Here is a 25,553-nt window from a genome sequence, read left to right as displayed (position 1 = left end):
GCCACGTGGAACTTGCCATGGCCCTGACTCAGCCTGGTCTCTTTCCACCAGACCAGGCTTAGTGGTGGAGCCCAGGTGTCACCTCTGCCATTGATCTCGGCCATTAAGCTGCAGCATCTGCAAAGGCCAAGGATGTTAATGGTGCCAGCCTAGGAAATAAGCCGGCCTGTGGGAATGGAGAACAGGGAAGACAAGAGCCAGTGTGGCCCCCGTGGGCAGAATGGAAGGAAATGGGCCACAGGGACAGCCAGGGATTCAGGTTGGACATGAGGAGGTGCTCCCTGCAGAGTGCGTAATTAAGCAGCACTGGAGTCAGAAACCCAGGCAGAGCCCAGAGTTCCTATCCCCAAGGATATTTTTAAATAGGATGAAACCCATTTGTCCTGTCCAGTTTAACCATTTGCTTGACTAGAGTCAGAAGAAAGAACAGATGACCTCCAGGGTCCCTTCTGAGCCGGGGACTCCAGGCTCCCCAGAATCATGTGGGTCCAGCCAGGTCCAGGGGGCAAGTCTGGTTTGGCTGTGGTCTGGCATCTATTCAGAAGCCACTGAAGATACAAGAGAGGCGCCCAATGAGACTCCCTGGCCCTAGGCTTCCACGCTGCACCTGCCAGGCCTGGGTTTCTCCATACAAGTTCAGCTTCTCTCCTCTGTCTGCTCCCAGGTCTCTGCTCCTGGTCCCTAAACACCAGGTACAACATGCCCAGAAAATATCTGTCATGCTAGCTTCCCAGGGCAGCCCTTCACACCCACAGACCACCCGGCAAGCACCCCTATTCACCCTCACAGCCACCCTTAGAATGCCTGTTGGGCGCCCCAGAGACCAGGACACACAACTTTCGACTTTCGTTTCTCCTCACTGCCAGGCTCTGGTCACCTGGGGTCCTAGTGATGGGTAGGCTGGGCAGACAGCAGGGCTGCACGCCCTGGGACCTGACCCCTCCACCCCCAGGCCTGCCTCCCCCACCCACACCTGCCTACTGACCCGGACAGCAAACACCCAGGAAACGAAGTGCTGGGCCTGATTCCCAGGGTCACCAACCTCAAAAAAGCAGAACAGCAATAATAGGAAAGAGAAGAAGGTGGGAGGAGAGGAGAGGTCTCCGCAAAGCACGCGTGAGAAAATGTTAACAGCTGGTGAATCCGGGCGATGGGAGGGTGGCAGTTAATGGGACTATTCTTACAACTTTTCTGTAATTCCGAAGTTTGTTTTTTGCAAGCTGAAAAGTTAATGAACAAGCAGAGAACATGCGGGCTTCCCCATGCTACAGGTGGCCTGTGGGTCCTCCCTTTCGTACTCCCCTGGAGCTCACAGTATCACAGCCGGCCCCTCCTATACCAAGCAGGAGCTGGGAGGGGCAGGGAGGGCAGGGTGCCCTGCAGAGACTCACTAGTTCTTCCTGGTCACCTTCCCTCATGGCCTTCTGATTAGTGAAGGGCCCTGAAAACACCTCACTGAGGGGTCATCTCCCTCCAGGACTCCAGAGGCTTTCAGGGAGCCCCTCCGGCCCCCAGGTTAATGCCAGAGAGCCAGAGTGGCCTGGGAAGGGAGGAGGCGGAGGGGCCACGGAGAGGGGAGGTGGTGGGCGCCTGCACCCACCCACACTCGCTCAGCCCCTTCACTCCAGCAAGGTCTCACCAAGCAGCCAGGTGTTTAGAAGCAATGTTGGGATCCAAGAAGAAAAGCCGTAAGCAAATCTCATCACATAAGTACATTGATTTTTCCTAACTGACAAGATTACAGGAAACTTTGTTTCTTTACTTTCATTCATCTTGATAGCTTCCTCCCTGCTGTCACTAAGAGGCTGTCATCTCTGAAGCTAGAGATAACGCCCTCCTCCATCCCAGTGCCTGGAAAGGAGGCCTGGGTGGCATGGGGATGTCACTGCAGATGCTCCTAGGGACCAGGAGCCCAAAGTGCTTTGGGGCCCTTTCCTCTGAGAGTCTCTCAGTGTTCCCCAGCAGATAGCGGGATGTGGCCCCCCCACACGAGATGAAACCTTGGTCTATTTGAGGACAACCTGGCGGCTGTGACACGCCAGCCCCCCTGATTCTGTGATATAAATAATTAATCCTCTTACATTTGTTCAGACCAAATTAGACATTGATTGGGAGAGGCTTAAGCTGACTCCACTTTCAGAGGGGCTGGGGGAGGTGGGGAAGCAACAGTGAGTTGGGGGAGGTGGGTGGGGAGAGGGGAGGAGACAAAGAGGAAGGACAGGGAAGAAACTGCACCAAAATCAGGAGAGGCACGAAGAGGGTGGGGCGAGACTCACTCTTTAGCTCTTGGCCTGGATCCTTGGCCAGCTGCGTGGATGCAGTGGTTTGAGTGTCTGTGCTTTTGGCAGGGACCTCTCAGAGGGTTTTTCAGTGCAGGAGGGGAAGAAAGACCGGCTGGGCGAGATGTGAGCTGCGGGCTCTGTCGGGTCCTGAGGCACCTCCCCAAAAGACCTGGCTTGGGCTCCTGCGGACCCAGCCCCGACAGCGGCTCCGGTCCTCTTCCGTCTCTGGCTCCCTCACCATGAGAGGAGAGGACAGGGAGGGCAGGGAACCTTGGCTCCCGGAGCCAGCAGCAGTTCTGCTGATTACTTGGGGCCAAGCAGGTGGGGCTTCCACCCTCCGTGATGCTCCTGGTGAGGGGCCCTGGAAGGAGAGGAGAGGCGAGAGCTTCTCCAGGAAGCCCTGAGGAAGACGCATGCTTGGCCCTATCACCTGGGCCCAAACCCTCCAGCCCCAGCCCGGCACCCACAGCTGTGAGCAGCCAGGGCTCCCTGCCTTCCCAGCCCAGCCAGCTGCCCGCTTGGCCTCACGCTGCATCCACCACCTGGCCCCCTCGCCTCAGCAGGGTGAAAGGAACTGCGGGGCTGGACACACTTCCCTAGCTGTGCCTGGAACTGAATTCATTTGCCGCAGGCAGGGGCCGGCCTGACTCTTTTAAGTCTGGTCATTAAATCAAAGTTAAGAGATTGAAACGACACATGAATAACTCATAATGGTTTGTTGGGAAGCTCCTTAAGCTCTAAGGGAGATATGGTTTGCTCTGTTGTTAAACTACAGTTGTTATTATTAATTGTGTTCTTAATAATTACCCAATATTAATTTGCAATAACAACTGCTTGGTGCCAGCCTAGGTGTTCTGTCTGATGCCAAGAAACAGTCGTCTCTCGGGGCTGGATGGGTCAGACGGAGGCAAGAAGCTAATGGAGGGAAGGGCAGGAGACGGCGTTTGTGGTGCCAGGAAAGGCTCCAGGAATAAGATAAAGGGGAGGCAAAGCAGGGGAGCAGAGACACTGCAGTTCCAGGGAGCAGTGGCTGTGGGGTGACGCTTCTGGAGGCAACAAGCCTCTGCAGCTCTGGAAAGACAAACTCCCCATAGACACTTCAACTGTAACAGCCTGAAGAGAAGTTCCGTGGTTTCAAAAAAAAGAATGTTGGGATCAGAGTAGGATTAAACCAGGGGAAACGGAGAACTCTCTCTCCCTGGAGATCCGTAAGGAAGCCCCCAACTTCACATGCATATGCACGTGCTCACACATGCACACACTCACACGTGCACACACACGCACATATGCACACACTCACACATGCACACGCCCATACATGCACACATGCACATGGACACACATGCACACATGCACATGCTCACACATGTACACACACGCACACACACATGCACATGATCACACACATGCACACATGCACACTCTCACACATGCACCCACTCACAAATGGACACACTCACACATGCACACACATGCGCACACACACATGCACATGCCCACACATGCGCATGCACTTGGACACACACATGCACACGCTCACACATGCACACACATGCACACATGCACACGTTCACACATGCACACGCTCACACATAGTCACACTCACATACGCACACACATGCACACACTCACTAATGCACACAACCACATGCACACACATGCACACATGCACACACGCACACATGCACACGGACACACAAGCAATGCACACATGCTCACACATGTACACATGCATACACACACCCACACATGCACACACATGCACACACACGGCCACATTCACACATGTACACATTCACACGTGCCCACATTTACACATGCACACACATGCACATGCACACACACACATGCACACATGCACATGGACACATATGCACACACGCACACACATGCACATGCATGCACACATGCACATGCTCACACATGTACACATGCACATGGACACATGCACTCACGTGCACACATGCACATTGACACATGCACACACCCATGCATGCACACGCTCACACATGCACACACGCCCACACACATGCACACATGCACGTGGACACACACGCACATGCACACACGCACATGCACACATGCACACATGCACACACACGTGCACATGCTCACACATCTATACACGCATACACACATATGCCCACACTTTCACATGCAGACACACACATGCACAGATGCACACCCTCACACATGCACACAGTCATACATGCCCACACTCACACATGCCCACATTCACACATGCACAAACTCGCACATGCACGCACCACACACGCACCATGCACATGGACACACACACACTCATGCACACACACGTGCACATGCTCCCACATGCACATGCTCGCACACGCCGATGGACACACACATGCACACATGCACATGCACACATGCACACGCACATGCACACATGCACATTGACACACATGCACACATACGCAGATGCACACACACACATGCACACATGCACACACTCACACCCACACACATGCACACATTCACACACTCACAGATGCGCACATACACATGGACACATACATGCCCACTCACACATGCACACACTCACACATACCCACACTCACACATGCACACTCACACATGCACACATGCACATGGACACACATGCCCACGCTCACACATGCACACGTGCACATGGGCACACTCACACATGCACACACGCACATGCTCACACATGCACACACAGGCACACTCACACATGCATATTCATATGCACACGTGCACACATACATGCACACATTCACATGAACACACATGCACACACATACATGTGTATACACATACACCCACATACATGTGTATACACATACACCCCTGTGAGGCTCCGTTGCTTTCTGCACACAGCAGGCTGCTGGGTCACTGGTCCAACACAGGGGTCACTGCCCCAGAGCCAGATCCAAAGCAAGCCAGAGGCCTCCTGTCCTCCCCTATTGTGTGGTACCGATTGGCCGACAAAAGAGACTTCCGACTCACATCCCCTCACCAAGCCAGTGCTGATGGAGCCATTGCTTCAGAGGAGCAAAGCCAGGCTGCAAGGGCAGAGGCCAGGCAGGAAGAAGAGCAAGTGCCATCCAGGGAAACTAGGAGGACTTTCTGGGGCGAGGAGACACCATGCAGAACCCCATGGAAGCAGGAGGCAGAACAGGACAGGAGAGCTGAGAGCTTGTCAAGAGGAAAGAGAGGGGCAGCCAGGGCTACTCGCTCACGCCACTCCTCCTGATGGGTATTAGTATTCCACTGTTTGGACGGGAGATGGAGCCCCTACAGCATACCTCTCCTACAGCTTCTCGCCTTGTCAGTGTGTGTGTGTGTGCTCGTGCACACGTATGAGCATGCATGTATGGGCATGCTCCGTTTGACCCTGGCCTCTGAGGTCATGGACTTGGCCTCCTTCTTTTCCAAAGGGGCCCATGATCCAGCTCAGAGCAGGACAGCGAGCTGTCTGCCCACTGACAGTTGGATTTTCCATCGTCTAGCCAGCAGATGGGCTGACCAGCCGAGTAATCAACTCACCCCCTCCAGAATAACCCACTTGTTGAGTGCCACTGACTGCCTGGTGACCACAAACCAAAGCCCACTGCCTTCACAACCACCTGGGTGGGAGCAAAACCAACTCTTTCTGAGCCCTTGAAGTAGCCCCTCTGTGAAGATTCCCCTTGACGGACCCCAGAGGACTCCCCACTTGCCACACAACCCAGGCCTCATTTTTCCATGGGATGGATGTGTCCAGCTCCCGGAGGGTTGGCCTTGCCACTCAAGGCCCACATCAGCCCCTGGCCTTTGTTGCAGGTGGGCCAAGCGGGGCCAGATCATCAAGGAGGCATCTGGAGAGGTGTACAGGACCACAGTGGACTACACGTACTTCTCAGAGCCCGTCTCCTGTGAGGTGACCAACGCCCTGGGCAGCACCAACCTCAGCCGCACGGTTGACGTCTACTGTGAGTGCAGTGGTGCAGGCTTCCCCAGGCGAGCAGGCATCCACTGGTTTCTGCTTAGAGCTGGAGAAACCAGGGCTAGATTCATTGCACACAACACAAGCTTCATGCGTCATGAGCGTAGGATGGTTTGCACTCGACGAAAGCTGGTTTGTGCATTGTTTCATGTTTATTTCAATCCCTATCATGACCCCATGAGTCAGGGTCTTGGCTGGGGCTGCTATGACACGTTACCATAGACTCGGTGGCTTAAATGGCTGAAATCAGGGTGCCATCGTGGTGGGTTTTGGTGGGGACTCTCTTCCTGGCTTGCAGGCAGCTGCCTTCTTGCTGTGGCATCCCATGGCAGAGAGAAAGAGAGAAGCAAGCTCTTGGGGCCTTTATTCCAAGGGCACTAATCTCATCACGAGGGCTCCACTCTCATGATCTAACCCCTGCCCCTGCAAAGCTCCTCCTCCTACTACCATCCCACAGGGGTGAGGATTTCAATTTACGAATTGCAGGGTTGACGGGGGACACAAGCACGCAGGCCATCATGGGTAGATATTTATTCTCATCATCTGAATGAGGAGATGGAGGTCTGAGGTCACACAGTAGGTGGCCAAATGAGAACTGAACCCAGGCAATGACCAAATCCATTGCCCATTCACACATTCTGCTGCCTTCCACTGAGGGGACTCACGGACGTACCTTCTTTTTCTTTTTATTTCTTTTTTTTTTTTTTTTTTTTTTGAGACAGTCTCACTCTGCCACCAGGCTGGAATGCAGTGGCAAGATCTCTGCTCACTGCAACCTCCAACTCCCTGGTTCAAGAGATTCTCCTGCCTCAGCCTCCCGAGTAGCTGGGACTACAGGCACTTGCCACCATACCCAGATAATTTTTGTATTTTTAGTAGAGACAGTTTCACCATGTTGGCCAGGATGGTCTCAATCTCCTGACCTCGTGATCTACCCACCTCTGCCTCCCAAAGTGCTGGGATTACAGGCATGAGCCACCGCACCTGCCCATCCCCTCTTATTCACTGGAGGTCCAGCAGGGACCCGCAGCAAGGCAGCGCACTGCCATGGACTAGCTGGCTGGATGTGTTCAAAACAAGCATCCTTAGCTCATGCACCGCCCCTTACAGTTTTAAACTTGCTTTTACAAACTTGAAAAAATCTGGCCCTCCCCCTTGCCCTTGAAGCCTCCGAAGAAAGTGCTGTTACTCCCTTTTTACATCAGGGGACTAATCGCAGTCTCCTGGCACCAGGCTTCAGGCTCTGTCTGCTCCCTGGAAGGAGCACTCTGAGGCCTGCCTGGCCACGGTCGGACCCTGAGCCTGGAATCCCCACACGGCCCCCACTGTGTAGACCAAGCTTGGTCTACAGAAGGCTCCAGACATGCTAGGGAAGGTGGAGAGGAGCCTGCATTCAGCTCTTTAATGCTTAGGAGAGGGGTCGGAAGTGGAACCCAGGGCTGCTCCACTGCAATGGGCGTGACACAGAGGCTGGAACGGCTGTAATAGGAGGGTGGCCTGAGAGCACCGGGTGGGAAACCCTGGGGGAGGAGGCGTGGGTCACGAGAGCCCTGCCTCCATCACCCTGCATCTCAGAGCCCCCATCCCACCCCAGAGGTGCACCAGTCACTCGATTCCAGGTCATGAAGGCTGAGGCTGGAGGAGATGGCAGCTAGCTTGAAGGCAGAGGCATGAAGATCCCAAGAGCCCAGATTTCCAGGGCAGGAGGAGGGCCCCTGCCCGCCACTGGGATGGAGGGGCTTCCGCAGCTTTCTAGCACCGGGCGTGATCCAGACAGAGGGAAGGGGATGAGAGCCGTGGGGGTAAATCCAGGCAGAACCTGGTCCCCAGCACCTTCTTCCCAGGCCCCACGCTGCCGACCACCTCCATGGGCCCAAGAGAGGCGAAGCCTCAGGGAGAGTGGTCTCCTCCTTGCTTCCTGAGTCCCACTCCCAGATCCCAGACCCCGCCCGGACATAAGACTTAAAATGGAAGCGACTGAGGTGGCACAAGTACCCCACTGCCTGCCTCCCCCCAGTCAAGGTCTAGGGGGAAAAGGAGGCAGCAGCAAGGAGGATCCCAGAGCTCCCCACCCACCTGAACCTGTCTTCTTCTTCCTCACATCGCAGTTGGGCCCCGGATGACCACAGAACCCCAATCCTTGCTCGTGGATCTGGGCTCTGATGCCATCTTCAGCTGCGCCTGGACCGGCAACCCATCCCTGACCATCGTCTGGATGAAGCGGGGCTCCGGAGTGGTGAGGCTGCAGCTCAGACCTCGGGGCACCTCTGGCAGGGGGCGGGGACAGTGGAGCAAGAAGGAACTGCTGCCCAGGCCCCTCTCACTATTAGACTGGGGGAGTCAGCCTCCAGTGTAAGCCACAGGGAGAAAGATCCCAGAAAGAGGAGGGGGAACCCAGGCACCCCCATGTGCCTGTCCCACCCTGAGCACATTCAGCCATTGCACTCTTGCCCTGTCCTAAACCTTACAAGAAAAGTAGGTGGTCACCAATGTGCTGGGAGGGAAGGCACTAGAAAGGCTTTTCAAGTGGGCACAGTGGCACACACCTGTAGTCCCAGCTACTCAGGAGGCTGAGGTGGAAGGATCACATGAGCTCAAGAGTTTAAGTCCAGCCTGGGCAACGTAGCAAGACCTTGGGGAAAAAAAAGAAGAAGAAAGGAAAGAAAGAAAGGAAGAAAGGAAGAGAGAGAGAGAAAGAAAGAAAGAAAGGAGAAAGAAAAGAAAGAGAGAGAAAGAAAAGAAAGAGAAAGAAAGAGCCTTTTAAACTTCCCCCAAATAAAGCCACCGTTAGCCTTGGACTTGGGCTTCACTTTCCTGTGTTCCATTTTTTTTTTTTTTTTTTTTTTGAGATGGAGTTTTGCGCTTGTTGCCCAGGCTGGAGTGCAGCGGCGTGATCTTGGCTTACCACAAACTCCGCCTCCCGGGTTCAAGTAATTCTCCTGCCTCAGCCTCCTGAGTAGCTGGGACTATGGGTATGGGCCACCACGCCCAGCTAATTTTGTATTTTTAGTAGAGACAGGGTTTCTCCATGTTGGTCACACTAGTCTCAAACTCCCAACCTCAGGTGATCCGCCCACCTCGGCCTCCCAAAGTGCTGGGATTACAGGCGTGAGCCACCGTGTCCAGCCCTTGTGTTCCTCTTTTAAGACGTATATATTCTTCAGTGCATAAGAGATTGTCAGATGTCCTCACATAGGAAGGAACAGGGAGAGCTCCAGGTAGGGAAGCAGGGGGACCAGAAGGAAACCGACCTTTGTGTGGCCTGTTATGTAGCAGACGCTGCATTATCCTAGCAGCCTCCATACATAGAAAGGGAGCGTCTGAGAAGATAAGTAACTGACCAAAGAGACACAGGTGTTCACTGCTGGAGCCGGGATTCGAACGCAGACCAAGCTCATGCCAGAGCCTGTTTTCATCACTCCAAGCTATATCCCAAAGGGATCCTGAAAATGACTCTGAAAACAGGTCCAGGAGCCCCCAGAGAAGTTCAGCTGTAGGATCATGTCACCCATGGCTAGCCTGGGAGAGGAGAAGCCACCGCAGGTACAGGGAGGTTCCTGTAGGAGGAAACCTGGAAGTCCCCAGGCAGGCATCCCCCTCCTCCGGCACATGTGCCCCCACATGCCCCCAGCCCACAGGGCTGCGCCTGGGATGTAACATCCTCAGTCACACGGGGTGGCCTCTCTGCTGGTACAGTCTCCTCTGTACAGCCCACAGGCATTGTCTGGGCCAGGAAACTTTTGGCCTCTTTCCTCCCCACCTTGCTTCCTACTGAGATGCCGGAGACTGCCTCAGTTACCCCAGGCCAGCCTCTCAGCTGCCTTGTTCCCAGAGACAAGAGTGCACCCCTCCGCCTGCTCTTGGCATCTGAGCCTGCCAATTCTCCTAGGTCCTGAGCAATGAGAAGACCCTGACCCTCAAATCCGTGCGCCAGGAGGACGCGGGCAAGTACGTGTGCCGGGCTGTGGTGCCCCGTGTGGGAGCCGGGGAGAGAGAGGTGACCCTGACCGTCAATGGTAAGACCCTCGCTGGGGTGAGCCAGGCCTGAGGGAGGGAAGAAGGACCTCAGGCATCTTGGCACCAGGCATAGCCCCAAAGGAGCTGTCGCTGGCTCTGGGCCTTGCTGTCACCTCCAACTATGGGTAGACAACAATTAGGTCCACCTCCTGGATTCCCCGTCAGACCCAGGCTGAGGGAGGAAGGGCCTGGGTAGTTTTCTAGTCACCTCTCTTTTTGTTTGTTAGCTTTGAAGGGGTCTCAGCCCTGAGAGTGGTGGGTGATGAATTTTATCCTGGCCAGGAAAAAAAGCATCAGAGGTCACTAGGTGGCCAACGTGTCCACCCTTTCATCCACTCACCATGGCCTTGGCCCGTGAGAATTTTTTGTTGGTTTTTTGCTTTTTGAGATGGAGTCTCGCTCTGTTGTCCAGACTGGAATGCAGTGGCACGATCTCAGCTCACTGCAACCTCACCTTCCTGAGTAGCTGGGACTACAGGCACGTGCCACTACGCCCAGCTAATTTTTGTATTTTTAGTAGAGACAGGGTTTCACCATTGTTGGTCTCCAACTCCTAACCTCAAGTGAGCCACCTGCCTCGGCCTCCCAAAGTGCTGGGATTATAGGCGTGAGCCACCTCTCCTGGCCCCATGAGAATTTAAGAGAGCATCTCTGCAGCTCCTGATCAGCCTCTTCCCAATGCGTGTGAGTCACCCAGCCAGGGAGCCCTGTCACCGTCTCCACGAGGCCACGTGTTCAGGGGCCCCCTTGAGGGCAGGGGGCATGTCTTATTATATATAATAAAAATAATTGCAGCAGGGGAGTATTTTCACGGTGGGAGTTAGTAGATGAATGACTGTTACATGAAATATGTAGGGACAAGGGCATCACACCAGGCCTGAATGATGGGGTGTAGACAGTCATGGAGAAGCTGAGACCTGGCTCAGGCCAGACCCAAGAAGGTTGTGGCACCAGGACGCAAATGCGGACGTCCCTGCCCTATCTGGTGCTTTGGCCACAGGCAAAAAGCAAAGCTGCCAGTTCGATTCCTCTGCCGTTTCCGAATGCTCCCCCCTCACCTCTGTCATGCCCACTGCCCTTTGGGAGGCCCCTGTTCCCACCATAGCCTGACTCAGATCAAAACCCCAAAGCTCTGGGACCCTGCAGGAACTGAACCACCAACATTTGCAGGACATCTGGGTCCTGGCCCCAGAGCAGGGCCCTCCTGAGGTCTCCAAATTAGCTCGTGGGCTTCAGCTTCCTCTCTACCCAGAAAGCCACCTGCTGATGGCCTCATCTATTCTCCCCTTCGCTAGAAAACCAAAACCAGCTTGGTGTCTCCTCAGCCATACCTCTCTACTGTCTCCATTCACCAGCTCCCCCCACACTGCCCCGCATTTCCATTCCTCTCCCCCCACCCCAGAGTCGTGGCAGCCCCCAAGGGAGGCTGAGTCTACCCAGACCCCAGCACGTTCACAGCCACCTGTCCTGGCAGAGCCCTGAGTCGGAGCCCTCCTGCCTTTCCTGAGTGTCCCCAGGATGCCACCAATAAATTGGCACTGCAGGGCTAAAAATAACAGCATCTGATCGCGCCTCCGTATATCCATGGCAACACAGGCTGCAGCCTTTTCCTTTCAGCGCAGGTGTCTGACACTCGGCTCAGAGCTCCAGGCCCCAGTGAAATCAGCGGCCCTCCACACAGCCCGCGCCAGCCAGGGCACTCGGAAGTCAGGCTGTCTGTGCCTGCAGCCGGCTCTGCTCTGCTGGCCCTATGACCAGCCAGCCCGGGACCCTCACACTCACTCATGCACTCCAGGGCCCCCAAGCCTGGAGCATCAAATGAGCATTGGCGTTTCTGGGGAAAAGCAGGTGGATAAAGGAGGAGCTGACATCTGCTGTCACTTTAGACGTTCAGACATTTCCAAGGGAGATTTAAAGAGATTTCTTGAGGAGAGAATGCCCCCTGGGGAACACAGGCCGGGAGGGACATTTCTCTTGGACGGGGAGGGCACTGAAACCCGGGCCCTGGCGCTGACCAAGGTTGAATCTGCACTCTCCAGGTCTCTTTCTCTCCCCTCCTCTGCCTCCACCCCTGCCAGCACAAGCTCCCCGAGGCTTCCAGGCAGAGAAAAGCTGGAGGGATTGGAGGGAAGCAAAGAAGCTGCTTGTTTATTTCTTGACTAGGGTGGCCTCACACACCTGGAGGCAGGTGGATGAGTTCAGTGGCCCCGGAGGGGAGCGCACCAGACCTGCCAGGGGGCGAACTGTCTGCCCCTGCTTCTGCAGAGCAGGCAGAGGGAGGGGGGACGCCCAGTGGATGGGACCTGGGCATGGGCTGGAGGGAGCTGGTGATATGAAAGCATTCAAATGAGATCAGGTTTTTATCGCGACAAATCCCAGCCTTGGACAACTGCTGGCCAGCGCAGCAGTCCTTTGGGAAAGAAATTGGCACACACCTCAACCGATTTGGCTCAAATCAGGTATCTGCAGGAAGGGGAGAGAAATCTTACTAACCCTCACCCCATTTCCCTTTATCCTGGTTTTCATTTTCTTTTAAGAAGCAGATGCATTTGATGATGGCTTTTAGAATCATGAAAACCCCTCAGGGAATTCCTAGCTCCTGGGAAGCACAAGGAAAAGGTTTTGTGTGTGTGTGTGTGTGTGTGTGTGTGTGTGTGTGTGTGTTTTGTGTGTCTGTGCATGTTGGGTTTTTTGTTTTTTTTTTGTTTTTTTTTTTTGAGCTGGAGTCTCGCTCTGTCGCCCAGGCTGGAGTGCAGTGGCGCAATCTCGGCTCACTGCAACCTCCACCTCCCAGGTTCAAGCAATTCTCCTGCCTCAGCCTCCCAAGTAGGGAGGCTAAATAATAAATACTAAAAATTTTTGTATTTTTAGTACAGACGGGGTTTCACCATATTGGCCAGGCTGGTCTTGAACTCCTGACCTTGTGATCCACCCTCCTCAGCCTCCCAAAGTGCTAGGTTTCTAGGTGTGAGCCACCGCACCTGACCAGAAAAGGTTTTATATTATCATCACGTTTTAGTCCAGCAATAAAACAAAGCACCATCCGGTTCCTAAAACATCAATCTCCTCATCTCTTTGGGTCCTAGACCTGTTGGAGCTGAAGGATTTTTAGGAAGGAGGGCAGCGCTCAGCCCATTCTTAAAGCCATGGAGGGTCCCCCACGCCCACCTCACGCTGCCCCGAGCCCTTTTGCCTTCTCAAACTCAACAGAAGTCACTGGAGTGTCTACAGTACCTTTTCTCCCTTGGCTGAGAGCTACTCATAGAAATGCAAATCTGCTTTAATTAAGGTGGCTAATAAACAGCAATTATGTTTGCAGCAATTTTTGTTTTGTTCCTGCATAATTCTGTGTGTTCTCCAGATGCGTTGCTCCCGGCTGTCTTTCCTCTGGTATCTGCCATCTAAGTCCCAACTGTGACCCCAGGGATTGGAAAGGGAGCATGACAGTTTCCGTCCCTACTCCCATCCTTCAACCACCCAGCCCAGCCAGGAAGCCAGCAGAGCCCAGGCTAAGCTAGCTGCTCCTTCTTTTGTCTTTCACGGCCAGGCAGGCGTCACAGGGGAAAGACTTGGGTTAGGTAACAGGCGGAACTGGACAGGAGGCGCTGGGGAACAGGCTCCCCTCCACCAGGTGAACTCTCTTGGCTGTGCAATGTGGTGAATGAGACAGGCGCTCTCAGAACCTGACACCCATAAACATGTGCCACACTCTGTGATATGATAATATTGGGGTCAGTTTGGGAGCCATGGCCTCACTTGGGCAGTCTGGGTATGGACGTGGAGGCAGACAAGATGATGAACTGCAGGACCTCCTGAGACACAGGTGGGAGGAGGGCTGTGAACACGGCCAGCGCATGCATTCCCCCTGTCCGGGGTGATTCCCGCCCTAAGGAGAGGGACAGCAACCATTTCTTCCCGTTGGCCCGTCTGGCCGAGCAGCTCCCATTTGTTAGGCAAGGGCGCCCTCTACTGGATATCTGAGGAATGGCTCGCAGGGGTGCCGCTGGCTGAGGCGGGGGAGTCTTCCTTCATCTAGACACCTCCCCACCCCCTCTGCAGGCTTACCACCTCCTCCCTAAAGCTTTCCCCGTCCGCCAGATAGAATTATTCTCTCTCCTCTGAAGTCGGTTAGCACTTTATCTGCACCGCTCCTGTGGTACTAACACTCACCACCTTTTATTACAGTTATTTGTATCTTCTGGGGGTTCTGACTTAGAAGCATTCGCTCATGATCCCTTGAGAGGTTTATGACTGAATGCCTAATTTATCTCTGAGTCCTCTACCTTGCACTTTACCTTGCACATACAGGCCTTCGGCAAATGTTTGCTGAATGCTTGGATTAATGAATACACTTCTGAACCCACCCAAGAGGGCGCCAGCAGGGACGTGCCCTTCCCGGGTGCCTAATGGGACGCTGTTTCTCAACAGGACCCCCCATCATCTCCAGCACCCAGACCCAGCACGCCCTCCACGGCGAGAAGGGCCAGATCAAGTGCTTCATCCGGAGCACGCCGCCGCCGGACCGCATCGTGAGTGCTCCAGGGACGGCGGGCGGGGGCCGGGCCAGCAGCCCAACAGTCACTTTTGCCAATACCTGGGTGGCCAGCCAGGCGGTGCACACCTCCGAGGTTCCTCTTTCTTGCTGAGGAAAATTATACCTGCCTTGGCTGTCTTGGAAAAGCATCGTGAAGACACAATTGCAGGCCTTTCTCAGAACAGGCAGTGCTCTCCCAGGGTTCAGCTGCCATTCTGCTGAGCTCTGACATGAACGGCTCTGACCAAATTCCGCATCCTAAGGGCAGAGGGGCACACGAGGGTAGTGGAGAGAAAAGACAAGTGACTTCTTCTCTTCCTGGGCTCCAGGCCAGTCTTTAGCAAAATCTTAGAGCGCAGGTAATAGTTGGCAACCCCTTTCTGTGCCTCCTGGAGCCCTCCTTGCCAGGTCTCTGTGGCCTTTACTGTCCATGGTAGCCTGCCCTGTTGCCTATCAATCGTCCCCTCTAAAGTGACCATTCCATTCTCTCTCCCTTCCTCAAAGAACTTATCCCTGCAATGCAGCTAAGGCAACTGAGGAGTCCACCCTCAGCGCCTCCTACCAGCTATCTGCTTGGTTTTTTTGTTTGTGTGTTTTTTGGGTTTGTTTGTTTGTGTTTGTTTTTTGAGATGGAGTCTCGCTCTATCACCCAGGCTGGAGTGCAGTGACACAATCTCGGCTCACTGCAACCTCCACCTCCCAGTTCAAGCAATTCTCATGCCTCAGCGCCTCTTGAGTAGCTGGGATTACAGGCATCTGCCACCACACCTCGCTAATTTTTGTATTTTCAGTAGAGATGGGGTCTCACCATGTTGGTCAGGCTGGTCTCAAACTCCTGGGCTCAATCGATCCTCCTACCCCAGCCTCCCAAAGTGCTGGGATTACAGGCGTGAGCCACCATGCCCAGCCAGTATCTGCATTTTTTTAAAGGGAGGGTCTTACTGAGCAGGAGCCTCATGTCTGTAATCCCAGCACTTTGGAAGGCTGAGGTGGGAAGATCGACTGAGCCCAGGAGTTTGAGACCAGCCTGGGCAACATAGTGAGACCCTGTCTCTACAACAACAACAAAAAAATTAAGGTGAGGGCAGAGTCTTTTTTTCCCTCTTTCTTTTTTGAGACAGAGTCTCTCTCTATCACCCAGGCTGGGTGCAATGGTGCAATCTTGGCTCACTGCAACCTCCACTTCCTGGGTTCAAGCAATTCTCCTGCCTCAACCTTCCAAGTAACTGGGATTACAGGCACCTGCCACCACACCCAGCTAATTTTTTTGTATTTTTAGTAGATAAGGTTTCACCATGTTGGCCAAGCTGGTCTCAAACTCCTGACCTCAGGTGATCCAGGGGCAGAGTCTTGTACTCAAATCCATCTAAAACTGGAGGGATCTCAGGCATGAAAACAAAGAAAAGTGAGCATTTTATAGCACTACTCGGGGAAAACTTATTTGTAGTAATTCCCAGTGTATGGCAAAATCCTGCTAGAAGACTGTCCAGGGGTGGAGTGGGCAGGGCAGTTGTGCAGGGAGGGTGGGGCTGGCCCAGATGTGAAGCAGCTGAGGTCACCCCTAACCCGTGCATGCGGGGGCTGAGACACCCAGGCTGCACCAACTGAAACTGTCATCCTGTTAACTAAGATATTATTAGAGTATTATTGCTGCTACACGCTTTCTCAAGCATTCAGTTCATTCACTGTCTGAAAGATTCACAAAAAAATTGCAAGAACTCATGAATAAAACTAATACCTACGCCTCCCCATTCACTTTGCTTTTTGATGTTTTTAATTATAAATGTAACACATGCTCATTGTCAAATATTCCATTCACTCTTGGACATTTTCACACCTTCTCTCCAGAAATATCTGATTCTAGGCCAGCGGTTCTCACTGGCCCCAGGGGACATTTGGCAGTGCCTGGAGACATTTTGGTTGTCATCACTTGGAGGATACTCCTGGCACCGGGTGTGTAGAGGCCAGGGTGCTGCTGACATCCTGCAATGCCTGGGAGAGCCCCACGGCCAGGAATGGGTCAGTCCAGCGTGACAATAGCAGCAAGCTTGAGAAACTCAGTCCCTCTCATCAGCCCCGAACCAGGATATACGAGGCGCTTACACGATGAGGTGCAGACAGTGTATGTGGCCGGCTCTGAAAACTGTTAACCAGCAGCCCTGTAAACTAAGGCAGACGAAGGTGATCGCAAACACAGCTCTGTAGACACATTTCTCACACAGACATACAACATCACACAGGTAGACGCGTTCATGGGGCTGCTGTCCTAACTCACACCCACCCAGGCAGCCACAGTCCCGGGGGGCATTTGTGTGGAGGCGCAGTGCGCAGGCCAACAGGGCACCCACTTTGCCCAGAAAGATGCTCCCCAGGCCCCTTTCTGGGATGGAAAGACCCTCTGAGGATGCCCCAGAGTATGTGTGTGTACATGTGTTTGTGGATTGTGTACATGTGTGGTGTGGGTGTGTTACCGTGTACATGTGTCATGGCATGTGTGAACATGTGTATCTGTTGGTAGTGTGTGTACTTGTGTGTGTGAGCACATGGTGTGTGTGTATGTCATAGTGTGTGTACCTGTAAGTACACATGATGGTGTGTATGGCGAATGTGTGTATGTGTTGCAGTGTGTGTTGTGGTATGTACATGTGTGTAAGCATGCTTGTATTGTGTGTTGTATTGTGGCATATGGTGCGTGCATCTTGGTGTGTGTGTGCATGTGTACATGTATTTCGGGGAGTGGCTGTGTGTTGCGTGTAGATGTGGTGTCGTGTCTGCCATGTGTATGTACATGTCTGTATCATGTTTTTAGTGTGAAGTGTGATGTGCATGTACTGTGATGTGTGTATGCATGTTGTGACATGTGCACATATGTGCAGGCATGTGTGCACTGTGATGTGTTGTGTGCTTTGGTGTGTGCATGTGTTGTGATGCATGTTTATGTGTGTTGTGGTACATGTACTTGCATATGCATGTTTGTAGTGTGGTGTGTGTGTACAAACCTGTGTGTATATACATTGGTATGTGTACGTGGTGATGTGTGTGTTATAGTGGGTGCACACTTGTGTGTGTGCAGAGCTGTGTGTACACATTTGTGGTGTGTGTAGTATGTATATAAACGTGTTGGCCATGTGTGGGGAGCTGTGTATAGACGTGTGATGTGTTTGTGTGTTGTGTGTGCACACGTGTACCTGCATGTGGGTGCCGTGTGGGATGCTGTGCATGCCCATGTGTGGTGATGCGTGTTGTGTGTGCACCTGCATGTGTGCATATTTGTGGTGTGTGGCATGTGTGCCTGCATACATACCCGTGTGCACATGTGTTAGTGTGTGGCAGTGAGCATGAACATGAGCAGGACAGTGGCACTGTGACTCTGGTGTGGGCGTGTCCTGGGCCCCTCTGGTGGGGTCTCCTCCTGATTCTGCGCCCCCGGGCAGGCCTGGTCCTGGAAGGAGAACGTTCTGGAGTCGGGCACATCGGGGCGCTATACGGTGGAGACCATCAGCACCGAGGAGGGCGTCATCTCCACCCTGACCATCAGCAACATCGTGCGGGCCGACTTCCAGACCATCTACAACTGCACGGCCTGGAACAGCTTCGGCTCCGACACTGAGATCATCCGGCTCAAGGAGCAAGGTGAGAGCTGCCAGGGCCATGAGGGAACAACGAACGATGGAACCAGAGGGCCCTCTCCTCACCTAGGTCAGGGCGCGGGTGGCTGCAAGGTGGGCCAGGGCCCAAGGACAAGCCACAGTGCTCTTCCTGGCTGACCACACAGCCTAGCCAGCCAGCAGCCTCCTCAGCCAGGCTCTCGCTGAAGCAAGGGGCACGAGCCTCCACCAGGAACCAAGAAAGGGAAGAACACAGCTCAGAGGGGCAGCCCTTGAGGGCGATGCTTCAGTGGGAGGTGACCACAACAGTGAGCAGGCTGGTGGCAGTGACAAGCTGCCCAGTAGCCTCCAGAGGCCCTGGCTTCTGTGCCCTGCCCTCTGCCATGGGCCCTGGTCTGACACCAAAGTGTCATGCCTGGGTGGAGCGTGGGATACACTGGCATGGGTGTGCTGGGAACCTGGCCCAGTCACAGTTAAGATGACAAGCCCATCCAGTTACTCAGACACAAGTCCCACAGAGGGCACCCAGGCTAAAGCTAAGGGGTTAGGCTTGCTTGTCCAGATCCCTAGGGTCGGGGGCTGGGCTCAGATGACCTGCAGACCCAGGAGGCACATGGACCCCTGTACCTCAAAGGCAGCGCTGGGCAAAGCAGCCGGGTGGGTGAGAGGGAGGAGGCAGGAGGAACAAGCCTCACCCCACTGTGCCCCCGTGCGCTGACGTCCCAGCTCCTGGTCAAAGAGGCTCAGATCTCCAGCGTCTGCTCAGAGCTCTCAGGCACAGACAACAGGATGGGGAGCCTTGGAGGGGCACGGAGGGGTGGCTCCAGAAGCCCCACCACAGCCAGCAGCAAGCCGGGTTCTGAGAGGGGCAGTTGATCTTGCCCTTTTGCCAGCAGGGGCTAAGCCATGGTGGACCAGGGATTCGTGCTCAGCTGGGCCTGGGCCTCTGAGGCCCAGGAGGCCTCAGTCCTGACGATCTCTGACACCCTCTTAGGTAAAGGTCCATTCGCAGGCTGTCAGGCCCAGCAAGAGATTCTAGGCCAAGTGGGTGGTCTCAGCTGGGCCCCCAGGCCTCAGTGGGCCACACCAGGATCACACCTATGGGTCAAATCACACAGCATCTCCCAACACCTCTTCCCTAATAGGTGCTGCTTTGCATAATGCTTTGCACATAATTTGCATAATATCATCCACACATCATCCCAAACCTTCCTGGTCCCCTGTTGCCTACCCTCCGTGTCTTCCCCTTGGTGCCCCCATCCCCATGCCCTCCCCCGAGTGTTCTCACCCCAACCCTCCCAGACCCCTCCGAGACGTGATCTCTCTCCGGTCCCTAGCCCCTCCAGAGTCTCTAAGTCAGCCTGAATGAACTCCAAGTTCAGCTGGGCTAGCCTGGATCTGTTGGGGGGTCCCAGAGACATGACTGGGAAAGGAGCCCCTCACCCAGCCCCGCTCAAGCAGCTAATTCCCAGTCCCACCCCACCCTGGCCAGCCAGGCCCTGGCTGTAGACGCTTGCTTTATTTCCAAACAGGTTCGGAAATGAAGTCGGGAGCCGGGCTGGAAGCAGGTACGGAAGGAGATGATGAGAATGGCCCTGGGAAGGGGGGAAGGGACTTCCTGGCTAGCTGGGGAGGGAACCCAGCAGGGGGTAGGGAGGCCTGTGCTGGCCGCTAGTGTCTCCGCCCTCCCCCGTCCTGAGGGTTTAGTGTAGACAAAGCAGTGGGGAGAGGAGGTCCCAGCCAGCTTGGGCCTAGGGACCCCAGAGACCTGTCTCCTGCCTGCCGCCGGAACCCACAACTCCTTCCTCTCTGGGACACTGGCTCTTGCTCGTCCCCGCTCCATTCCTTCCATCCTTTCTCTTCAGGAGCCCTGACTCCTGGCCTCTGGGGTCAGCTGGCCCCTGTCCTGACTGCCTTCTGCTTCCAGGCTCTCTCCGACCCTTCCCGCTTCTCCACATCATCACCAGCTTGGCCACTGCTTCCCAGGACACCGGGGGCCCCCAGCCCCTGCTGTGGCTTGTGCAATCCATGCTTGCTGTTTGCCACCCCTCCCTACTCCTGCAGTCCCCATGGAAGTGTCATCTCACCCCAAGCTGAGGCTGCAGGGCAGCGCCTCCCTCCCCAGGCACACGCAGCAAAGCAGTCATCAGGCCCCCTGGGCGGAGTTGCTCTCAACCCCACCCCGAGCAGAAAACCAGAAAAGAGAATCAGGACCAGCAAGCCAGGCTCTATGGCCATGCTGAAGACTTGAGTGGTCCTCCATCCCAGGCCTCCTGCCACACTGGCCCCTGGCCTCTGTTACCTCCTCAACAAGCTCCACGTGGGATCCTCATGCCCCTGCCTCTGCCCCTCCTGGCAGACATGCCCCTATCAGAGCACCAACCCAGGGCACAGGTTGCTCACAGAGGCCCCTGCAGCCCACACTGGGGCAACCCAGAAAGCTGCCAGCCTCCCGCTGCCTTCTCCCCGGGTCCATGCTAGTGCTGAGGGTGGTGTCTCCTGTCTCCGTGTCTCCTGTGTCTGCTGACACTCATCCAGAGCTCCCCAACACCTTCCCCCCTCGGTGGCTCCTGGTGCCTGGCACACCTCCTTGGATGGAGGGGAGGCTGAGTGGGGACAGCCCCTCCCTCCAGTCCCTCTCCAGGAGCCATGCAGGGAAGGCTCTGTGCAGAGAGGAGGGGCCTGCACATCGCCCTAGGCCAAACCTCAGGAAGCCAGGCAAGGAGGAAACACACACAGGCAGGCTGGGGACTGGGAAGAGATGGCACCCCGGGGCACTCGCCCCCACAGGACCCCCTGCTCTCCCCCTGCCCACCTCCCTGGTGACCGTTGTCCAGCTAAGAGGGCACCCCTCCCCCAGCCGTCAGCAGCGTGTGGAAACGTGGGCTGGGGATCCCAGGATCGGAAGGCACCTTCAATGCTGCTGCCCAGCTCTCCAGGGTGCAGACAAGGCACTGAGGCCCAGAGGTGTTAAGAGCCTTCCATGGACATGCTTTGGCTCTGAGTTCCGCTGAGACAAGCCCTGTGTTTTTCCAAGGAAACTTACTAGGAATCTGAGGAGAAACCAACCCAAATCAATCCAATTCAAAAGCAGAGAACCAATGAGCTGCCACAGCAGTTTCCCTTTCTTCATGGAACTAAACCTAGAGACGTTGTCGTCTATTGGTCAAGGCAAGCTCTGCTGAGGCCCAGCCCCTTTTCTCAGTCTGACTGTTGAACCAATGCGAGCACCTCCCGTTTCAATCCCTAAGTGTCCACCATTCCACCTCCTCTTGGTCCCCTCCCTGTCACCCCTACAGCTGTCCTGGCCACTAATTGGTAGGTAACCAATGGCTTCGTGTGCAAGTCCTGGGGTGGCAAAGGGATGTGCCAGCTTAACCAGCAACACTGCCAGCCAGGGGCGCCAGCTCCCTCTGGCCGGAGGGCAAATGGCTGCCACCCTACCCCCACCCCTTGATACCTCCTCCCAGCAGCATCTTCAGAGGCCAGGGTTTGAGGTCTTTCTCCTCCCTTTAAAGAAAAAGACAGCAAGAGGCTTACAACCCAGAACTGATACCTAGCTGTCCCCACTCGCCCACACTGACGAACGCAGGGTAGGCTGGGGAGGGGCTCAGTCTTTCAAAGGAACTTTCCTGGCCTTTAAGACTGTGAACTGCTGATCGGGAACGATGGCTCACGCCTGTAATCCCAGCACTTTCGGAGGCTGAGGCGGGCGGATCACCTGAGGTCAGGAGTTTGAGACCAGCCTGGCCAACATGGTGAAACCCTATCTCTACTAAAAATACAAAAATTAGCCAGGCATGGTGGCATGTGCCTGTAATCCCAGCTATTCGGGAGACTGAGGCAGGAGAATCGCTTGAACCCAGGAGGCGGAGGTTGCAGTGAACTGAGATCGTGCCACTGCCCTCCAGCCTGGGTGTCACAGCCAGACTCCATCCCAAAAATAAAAGACCGTGAACTGCTGGTGACCCCTTCCTGGGTAACAACAACAGCAAACACCAAACAGGGCTGGGTGCCAGGCTCTGCTCCAAGGCCTCTGCCCACATTCACCCAGCTCAAGCCCATAACAACCCTCAGAGGGGCCGGTACCATTATCCCCATCCTACAGATATAAGAGAGGCAAAGTCAGTTGCTCAGCAGAAGGGATGGAGCCAGGACTCGGAGCAGCAGCAGTCTGGGCGGTACCGAGCACATGAGATGTGGGGGATCTCACATGTCACTCTGTGGGTGGAGCTGGACGGGGTGGGAGTGGGGTGAGTGGAGGGGTGGGAGCAGTGAGAGGAGACCTGGATTGACCCTGGCTGGGCAGCTCCTGTGTGTCCTTGGCCAAATCACTTGACTTCTCCGGACCTCAGTGAGAGCCCCAAGCTCTCCCTGCCCCAGCATTCTCTAGTTCTATTCCTGATGGATTCCTCAAGGCCCTAAATCATGTGCTCCGACCCCACTTGCAGCTGTAGAAGGGCCAAGGCTGTGTGGAAGATCACCCCCGACTCTATCCTTACCCTCCCTGTCCCTACCCCCACTCGGCTTGGGCAGGAGACAGGCCACAGAGACTCAGCAGGGGTGAGGGCTTGCCTGCCCAGTGTGTGGGCCTCTCTTGCCAGGAGGGGTGCAAGGATGCTCAGAGGGGCAGCCTTGAGGGAGAAGCTGCAGACCTGGAGATGGAGGGAAAGGGGCCTCTCTCCTTAGAGAGGTGGCAGTGGAGAAGCTGTAACCCTGCTCCCTGGACCCTGAGACTTGGACACCTGAGGGCCACAACTGATGCCCAGCAGACCTGCGGGGAAGCTACTTAGACCTGCAAACACTAAGAGCCGGATGTCCTCTATATTCACCCGAGAAAGGGAAGGGAAGGAGAGAACATACGGAACAAACAAGGGCAGTGACCATAGTCATTTTTCAAAAAAAGCCAGGGCCTATGACTCACTGGCCGCTGTGTGATAGAGCATTCCTGTTTAATGCCAGAGAGAGCTCCATCGTGCCAGCCCCACCCCTCATCTCCGGTCTTCCTGTCCCCTGGCCCTCCCTTCTCCGTGTCTGCCTGCCTCGCTCTCCTTCCTCTGCCCTTTACCTCAGTTCCCCTGCCCTCTCCTCCACCCACCAAGCCCCTGTGTCCTCCACCCTGGTCTTTGCAGTCCCAGCTAGAGCTGACCCCAGTTGGACTCGGCCTGTGCCTGCCCAGGCCCCACTGAGGCATTTCCCAGGAGGGCCCCATGTGGCAGGGGCTGCCCCCGCAGGAACGGGGTGAGATCATGGGGGGATAGTAGGCCATTCCCCATCCGTCATCAGCTGTGCCCGCTTCTCTCCCACAGAGTCTGTGCCGATGGCCGTCATCATTGGGGTGGCCGTAGGAGCTGGTGTGGCCTTCCTCGTCCTTATGGCAACCATCGTGGCGTTCTGCTGTGCCCGTTCCCAGAGAAGTACGGGAGGGAGATCCGGGATCTCAGGGAGGGGGACAGAGAAAAAGGCCAGGCTTAGGCTGCCCCGGAGAGCAAGTAAGCAGGAGTGCAATGAACAGGGGTCCTAACAGTGCTGTGAGCTCCTGGGGCAGGGAGTGGGTCTGATGCATCGGTGTATGTGAGCCTGGGCAACATGGCGCCTGGCAGAGTGGGCGCTAGGCTGAGGTTGACCTGGACTAGACTGAACTTCATCTGCAGGGCAGCCAGCATTTTGGATTGAACACATAGCTCTTTCAGTCAGGAACTGTACAGAAAGATAGGGGGAAAAGCGGTTTGTGGTTTGATCCTTGCTCTACAAGAGCTGTTAGTCTAGAGAGACCCCATCTCTACAACAAAATAAAAATAAAGAGCTGCTAGTCTCACCAGAAAAGCAGGTCACTCACACAGCTGTGGGGGAGTGGGTGGGGAAGCAATAAAGGAATTGCTTTGAGAAAACTTTTAAAGGTCTTCAGTGATTACCAATAAAATTCTAGTGTTTGTGCACGCTTGAAGAATTGCGTGCACCGAGGAGATAACGTGTGAGAGATTGGATGGCAGAGAACAGGTGAAGACAATGGAGACACAGTGTTCCAGTCCCACCTCTTCTGCCACATGACCCTGGGCCAGCCACAGTTATTCCAGGCCTGTCTCCTCATTTATAATGAGGATATGACTCTGATGGCCCCATCTGGCACTAACATTATATAAGTGTAATGCAAAAAATGAATCACCAGAATGGGTCTGCTCCTCTGCCACTCGGCAGCCTGCACATGTTTGAAGAAAGCTGTTCCCCTTGCATTTTCTGCACTCCGAGCTAAGCAGCCTTGGCTCTCAAGACCACCCCAGCAATGATGTGGTCTCAGGACCTCCATCACCACCGTCTCAGTGGAAATTATAGGGAAGCATACAAATATATACACATACGCATATATACACATATATATACGGTTTTTTTTTATATAGGGTCTCTCTCTTTTGGCCAGGCTGAAGTGCAGTGACACGATCTCAGCTCACTGCAACCTCCGCCTCCCAGGTTCAAGCGATTCTCGTGCCTAAGCCTCCTGAGTCGCTGGGATTACAGGCGTGTGCCATCATGCCTTGCTATTTTTTTAATTTTTTGCAGAGACAGGATTTCACCATGTTGCCCAGGCTGGTCTCGAACTCCTGGCCTCAAGTGGTCCGCCTTCCTCGGCCTCCCAATGTGCTGGGATTACAGGCGTGAGCCACCGCACCAGCTCCTCAAGAATTTCCTTTTTTTTTTTTGAGACAGAGTCTCATCCTGTTGCCCAGGCTGGAGTGCAGTGGCACAATCTCGGCTTACCGCAGCCGCTGCCTCCCGGGTTCATTCAAGCGAGTCTCATGCTCAGCCTCCCGAGTAGCTGGCATTACAGGCACCCACCACCACGCCCAGCTAATTTTTGGATTTTTAATAGAGACGGGGTTTCACCATGTTGGCCAGGCTGGTGTCAAACTCCTGACCTCGTGATCTGCCCACCTCGGCCTCCCAAAGTGCTGGGATTACAGGCGTGAGCCACCGCACCCAGCCAAGAATTTTCTAACAGAGCTCTCCAACTAGAAACAGCCTGCCTCCTGCAGAAGTAGCAGTAAAGCTTCCATCACGGAGGCGTCGACAGAGAAGCTGCCCACTGCCTCAGGGGCGTTTCTCTTTGGATGGGGGTTGGCCATGGGCACTTTGAGGTCCTTTCCAAC

At 54.8% G+C, this 25,553-nt stretch overlaps 1 protein-coding gene across 18 annotated transcripts in view, besides 6 other annotated features; it reads left to right on the top strand.

Annotated features, from left to right (window-relative positions):
* KIRREL3 (kirre like nephrin family adhesion molecule 3) overlaps positions 1-25,553 on the top strand; it is a 580,037-nt gene that overhangs the window by 548,151 nt on the left and 6,333 nt on the right. For 7 of the 18 annotated variants that reach the window (NM_001441257.1, NM_001441258.1, NM_032531.4 and 4 more), the window contains 7 exons: positions 6,087-6,235; positions 8,358-8,485; positions 10,139-10,265; positions 14,695-14,795; positions 18,235-18,433; positions 19,941-19,976; positions 23,718-23,825. In NM_001441257.1, the coding sequence (NP_001428186.1) occupies positions 6,087-6,235; positions 8,358-8,485; positions 10,139-10,265; positions 14,695-14,795; positions 18,235-18,433; positions 19,941-19,976; positions 23,718-23,825 (848 nt within the window). Of the gene's footprint in view, positions 1-6,086; positions 6,236-8,357; positions 8,486-10,138; positions 10,266-14,694; positions 14,796-18,234; positions 18,434-19,940; positions 19,977-23,717; positions 24,300-25,553 lie in introns of those variants that run through there. The other 11 variants (NM_001441262.1, NM_001301097.2, NM_001441256.1 and 8 more) reach the window with 6 other exon arrangements.
* Positions 7,801-8,369: an enhancer, noted in NCBI's record as "H3K27ac-H3K4me1 hESC enhancer chr11:126316770-126317338 (GRCh37/hg19 assembly coordinates)". NCBI's record gives its function as "activates a minimal SCP1, AML or CMV promoter by ChIP-STARR-seq in naive H9 embryonic stem cells {active_cell/tissue: H9 hESC(naive)}" and the evidence as "EXISTENCE:reporter gene assay evidence [ECO:0000049][PMID:30033119]".
* Positions 9,483-10,036: an enhancer, noted in NCBI's record as "H3K27ac-H3K4me1 hESC enhancer chr11:126315103-126315656 (GRCh37/hg19 assembly coordinates)". NCBI's record gives its function as "activates a minimal SCP1, AML or CMV promoter by ChIP-STARR-seq in naive H9 embryonic stem cells {active_cell/tissue: H9 hESC(naive)}" and the evidence as "EXISTENCE:reporter gene assay evidence [ECO:0000049][PMID:30033119]".
* Positions 10,037-10,590: an enhancer, noted in NCBI's record as "H3K27ac-H3K4me1 hESC enhancer chr11:126314549-126315102 (GRCh37/hg19 assembly coordinates)". NCBI's record gives its function as "activates a minimal SCP1, AML or CMV promoter by ChIP-STARR-seq in naive H9 embryonic stem cells {active_cell/tissue: H9 hESC(naive)}" and the evidence as "EXISTENCE:reporter gene assay evidence [ECO:0000049][PMID:30033119]".
* Positions 12,013-12,695: an enhancer, noted in NCBI's record as "H3K4me1 hESC enhancer chr11:126312444-126313126 (GRCh37/hg19 assembly coordinates)". NCBI's record gives its function as "activates a minimal SCP1, AML or CMV promoter by ChIP-STARR-seq in primed H9 embryonic stem cells {active_cell/tissue: H9 hESC(primed)}" and the evidence as "EXISTENCE:reporter gene assay evidence [ECO:0000049][PMID:30033119]".
* Positions 17,755-18,755: an enhancer, noted in NCBI's record as "H3K27ac-H3K4me1 hESC enhancer chr11:126306384-126307384 (GRCh37/hg19 assembly coordinates)". NCBI's record gives its function as "activates a minimal SCP1, AML or CMV promoter by ChIP-STARR-seq in naive H9 embryonic stem cells {active_cell/tissue: H9 hESC(naive)}" and the evidence as "EXISTENCE:reporter gene assay evidence [ECO:0000049][PMID:30033119]".
* Positions 20,592-20,757: a silencer, noted in NCBI's record as "fragment chr11:126304382-126304547 (GRCh37/hg19 assembly coordinates)". NCBI's record gives its function as "represses an EF-1alpha promoter that drives an FKBP-Casp9 reporter gene in an ReSE screen in HepG2 liver carcinoma cells {active_cell/tissue: HepG2}" and the evidence as "EXISTENCE:reporter gene assay evidence [ECO:0000049][PMID:32094911]".

Source organism: Homo sapiens, chromosome 11 (genome assembly GCF_000001405.40).
Source record: "Homo sapiens chromosome 11, GRCh38.p14 Primary Assembly".
In the NCBI taxonomy this organism is placed as follows: Eukaryota; Metazoa; Chordata; class Mammalia; order Primates; family Hominidae; genus Homo; species Homo sapiens.
The sequence above is the reverse complement of the archived record's forward strand: the minus strand, read 5'-3'. Positions and strand labels throughout refer to the sequence as shown.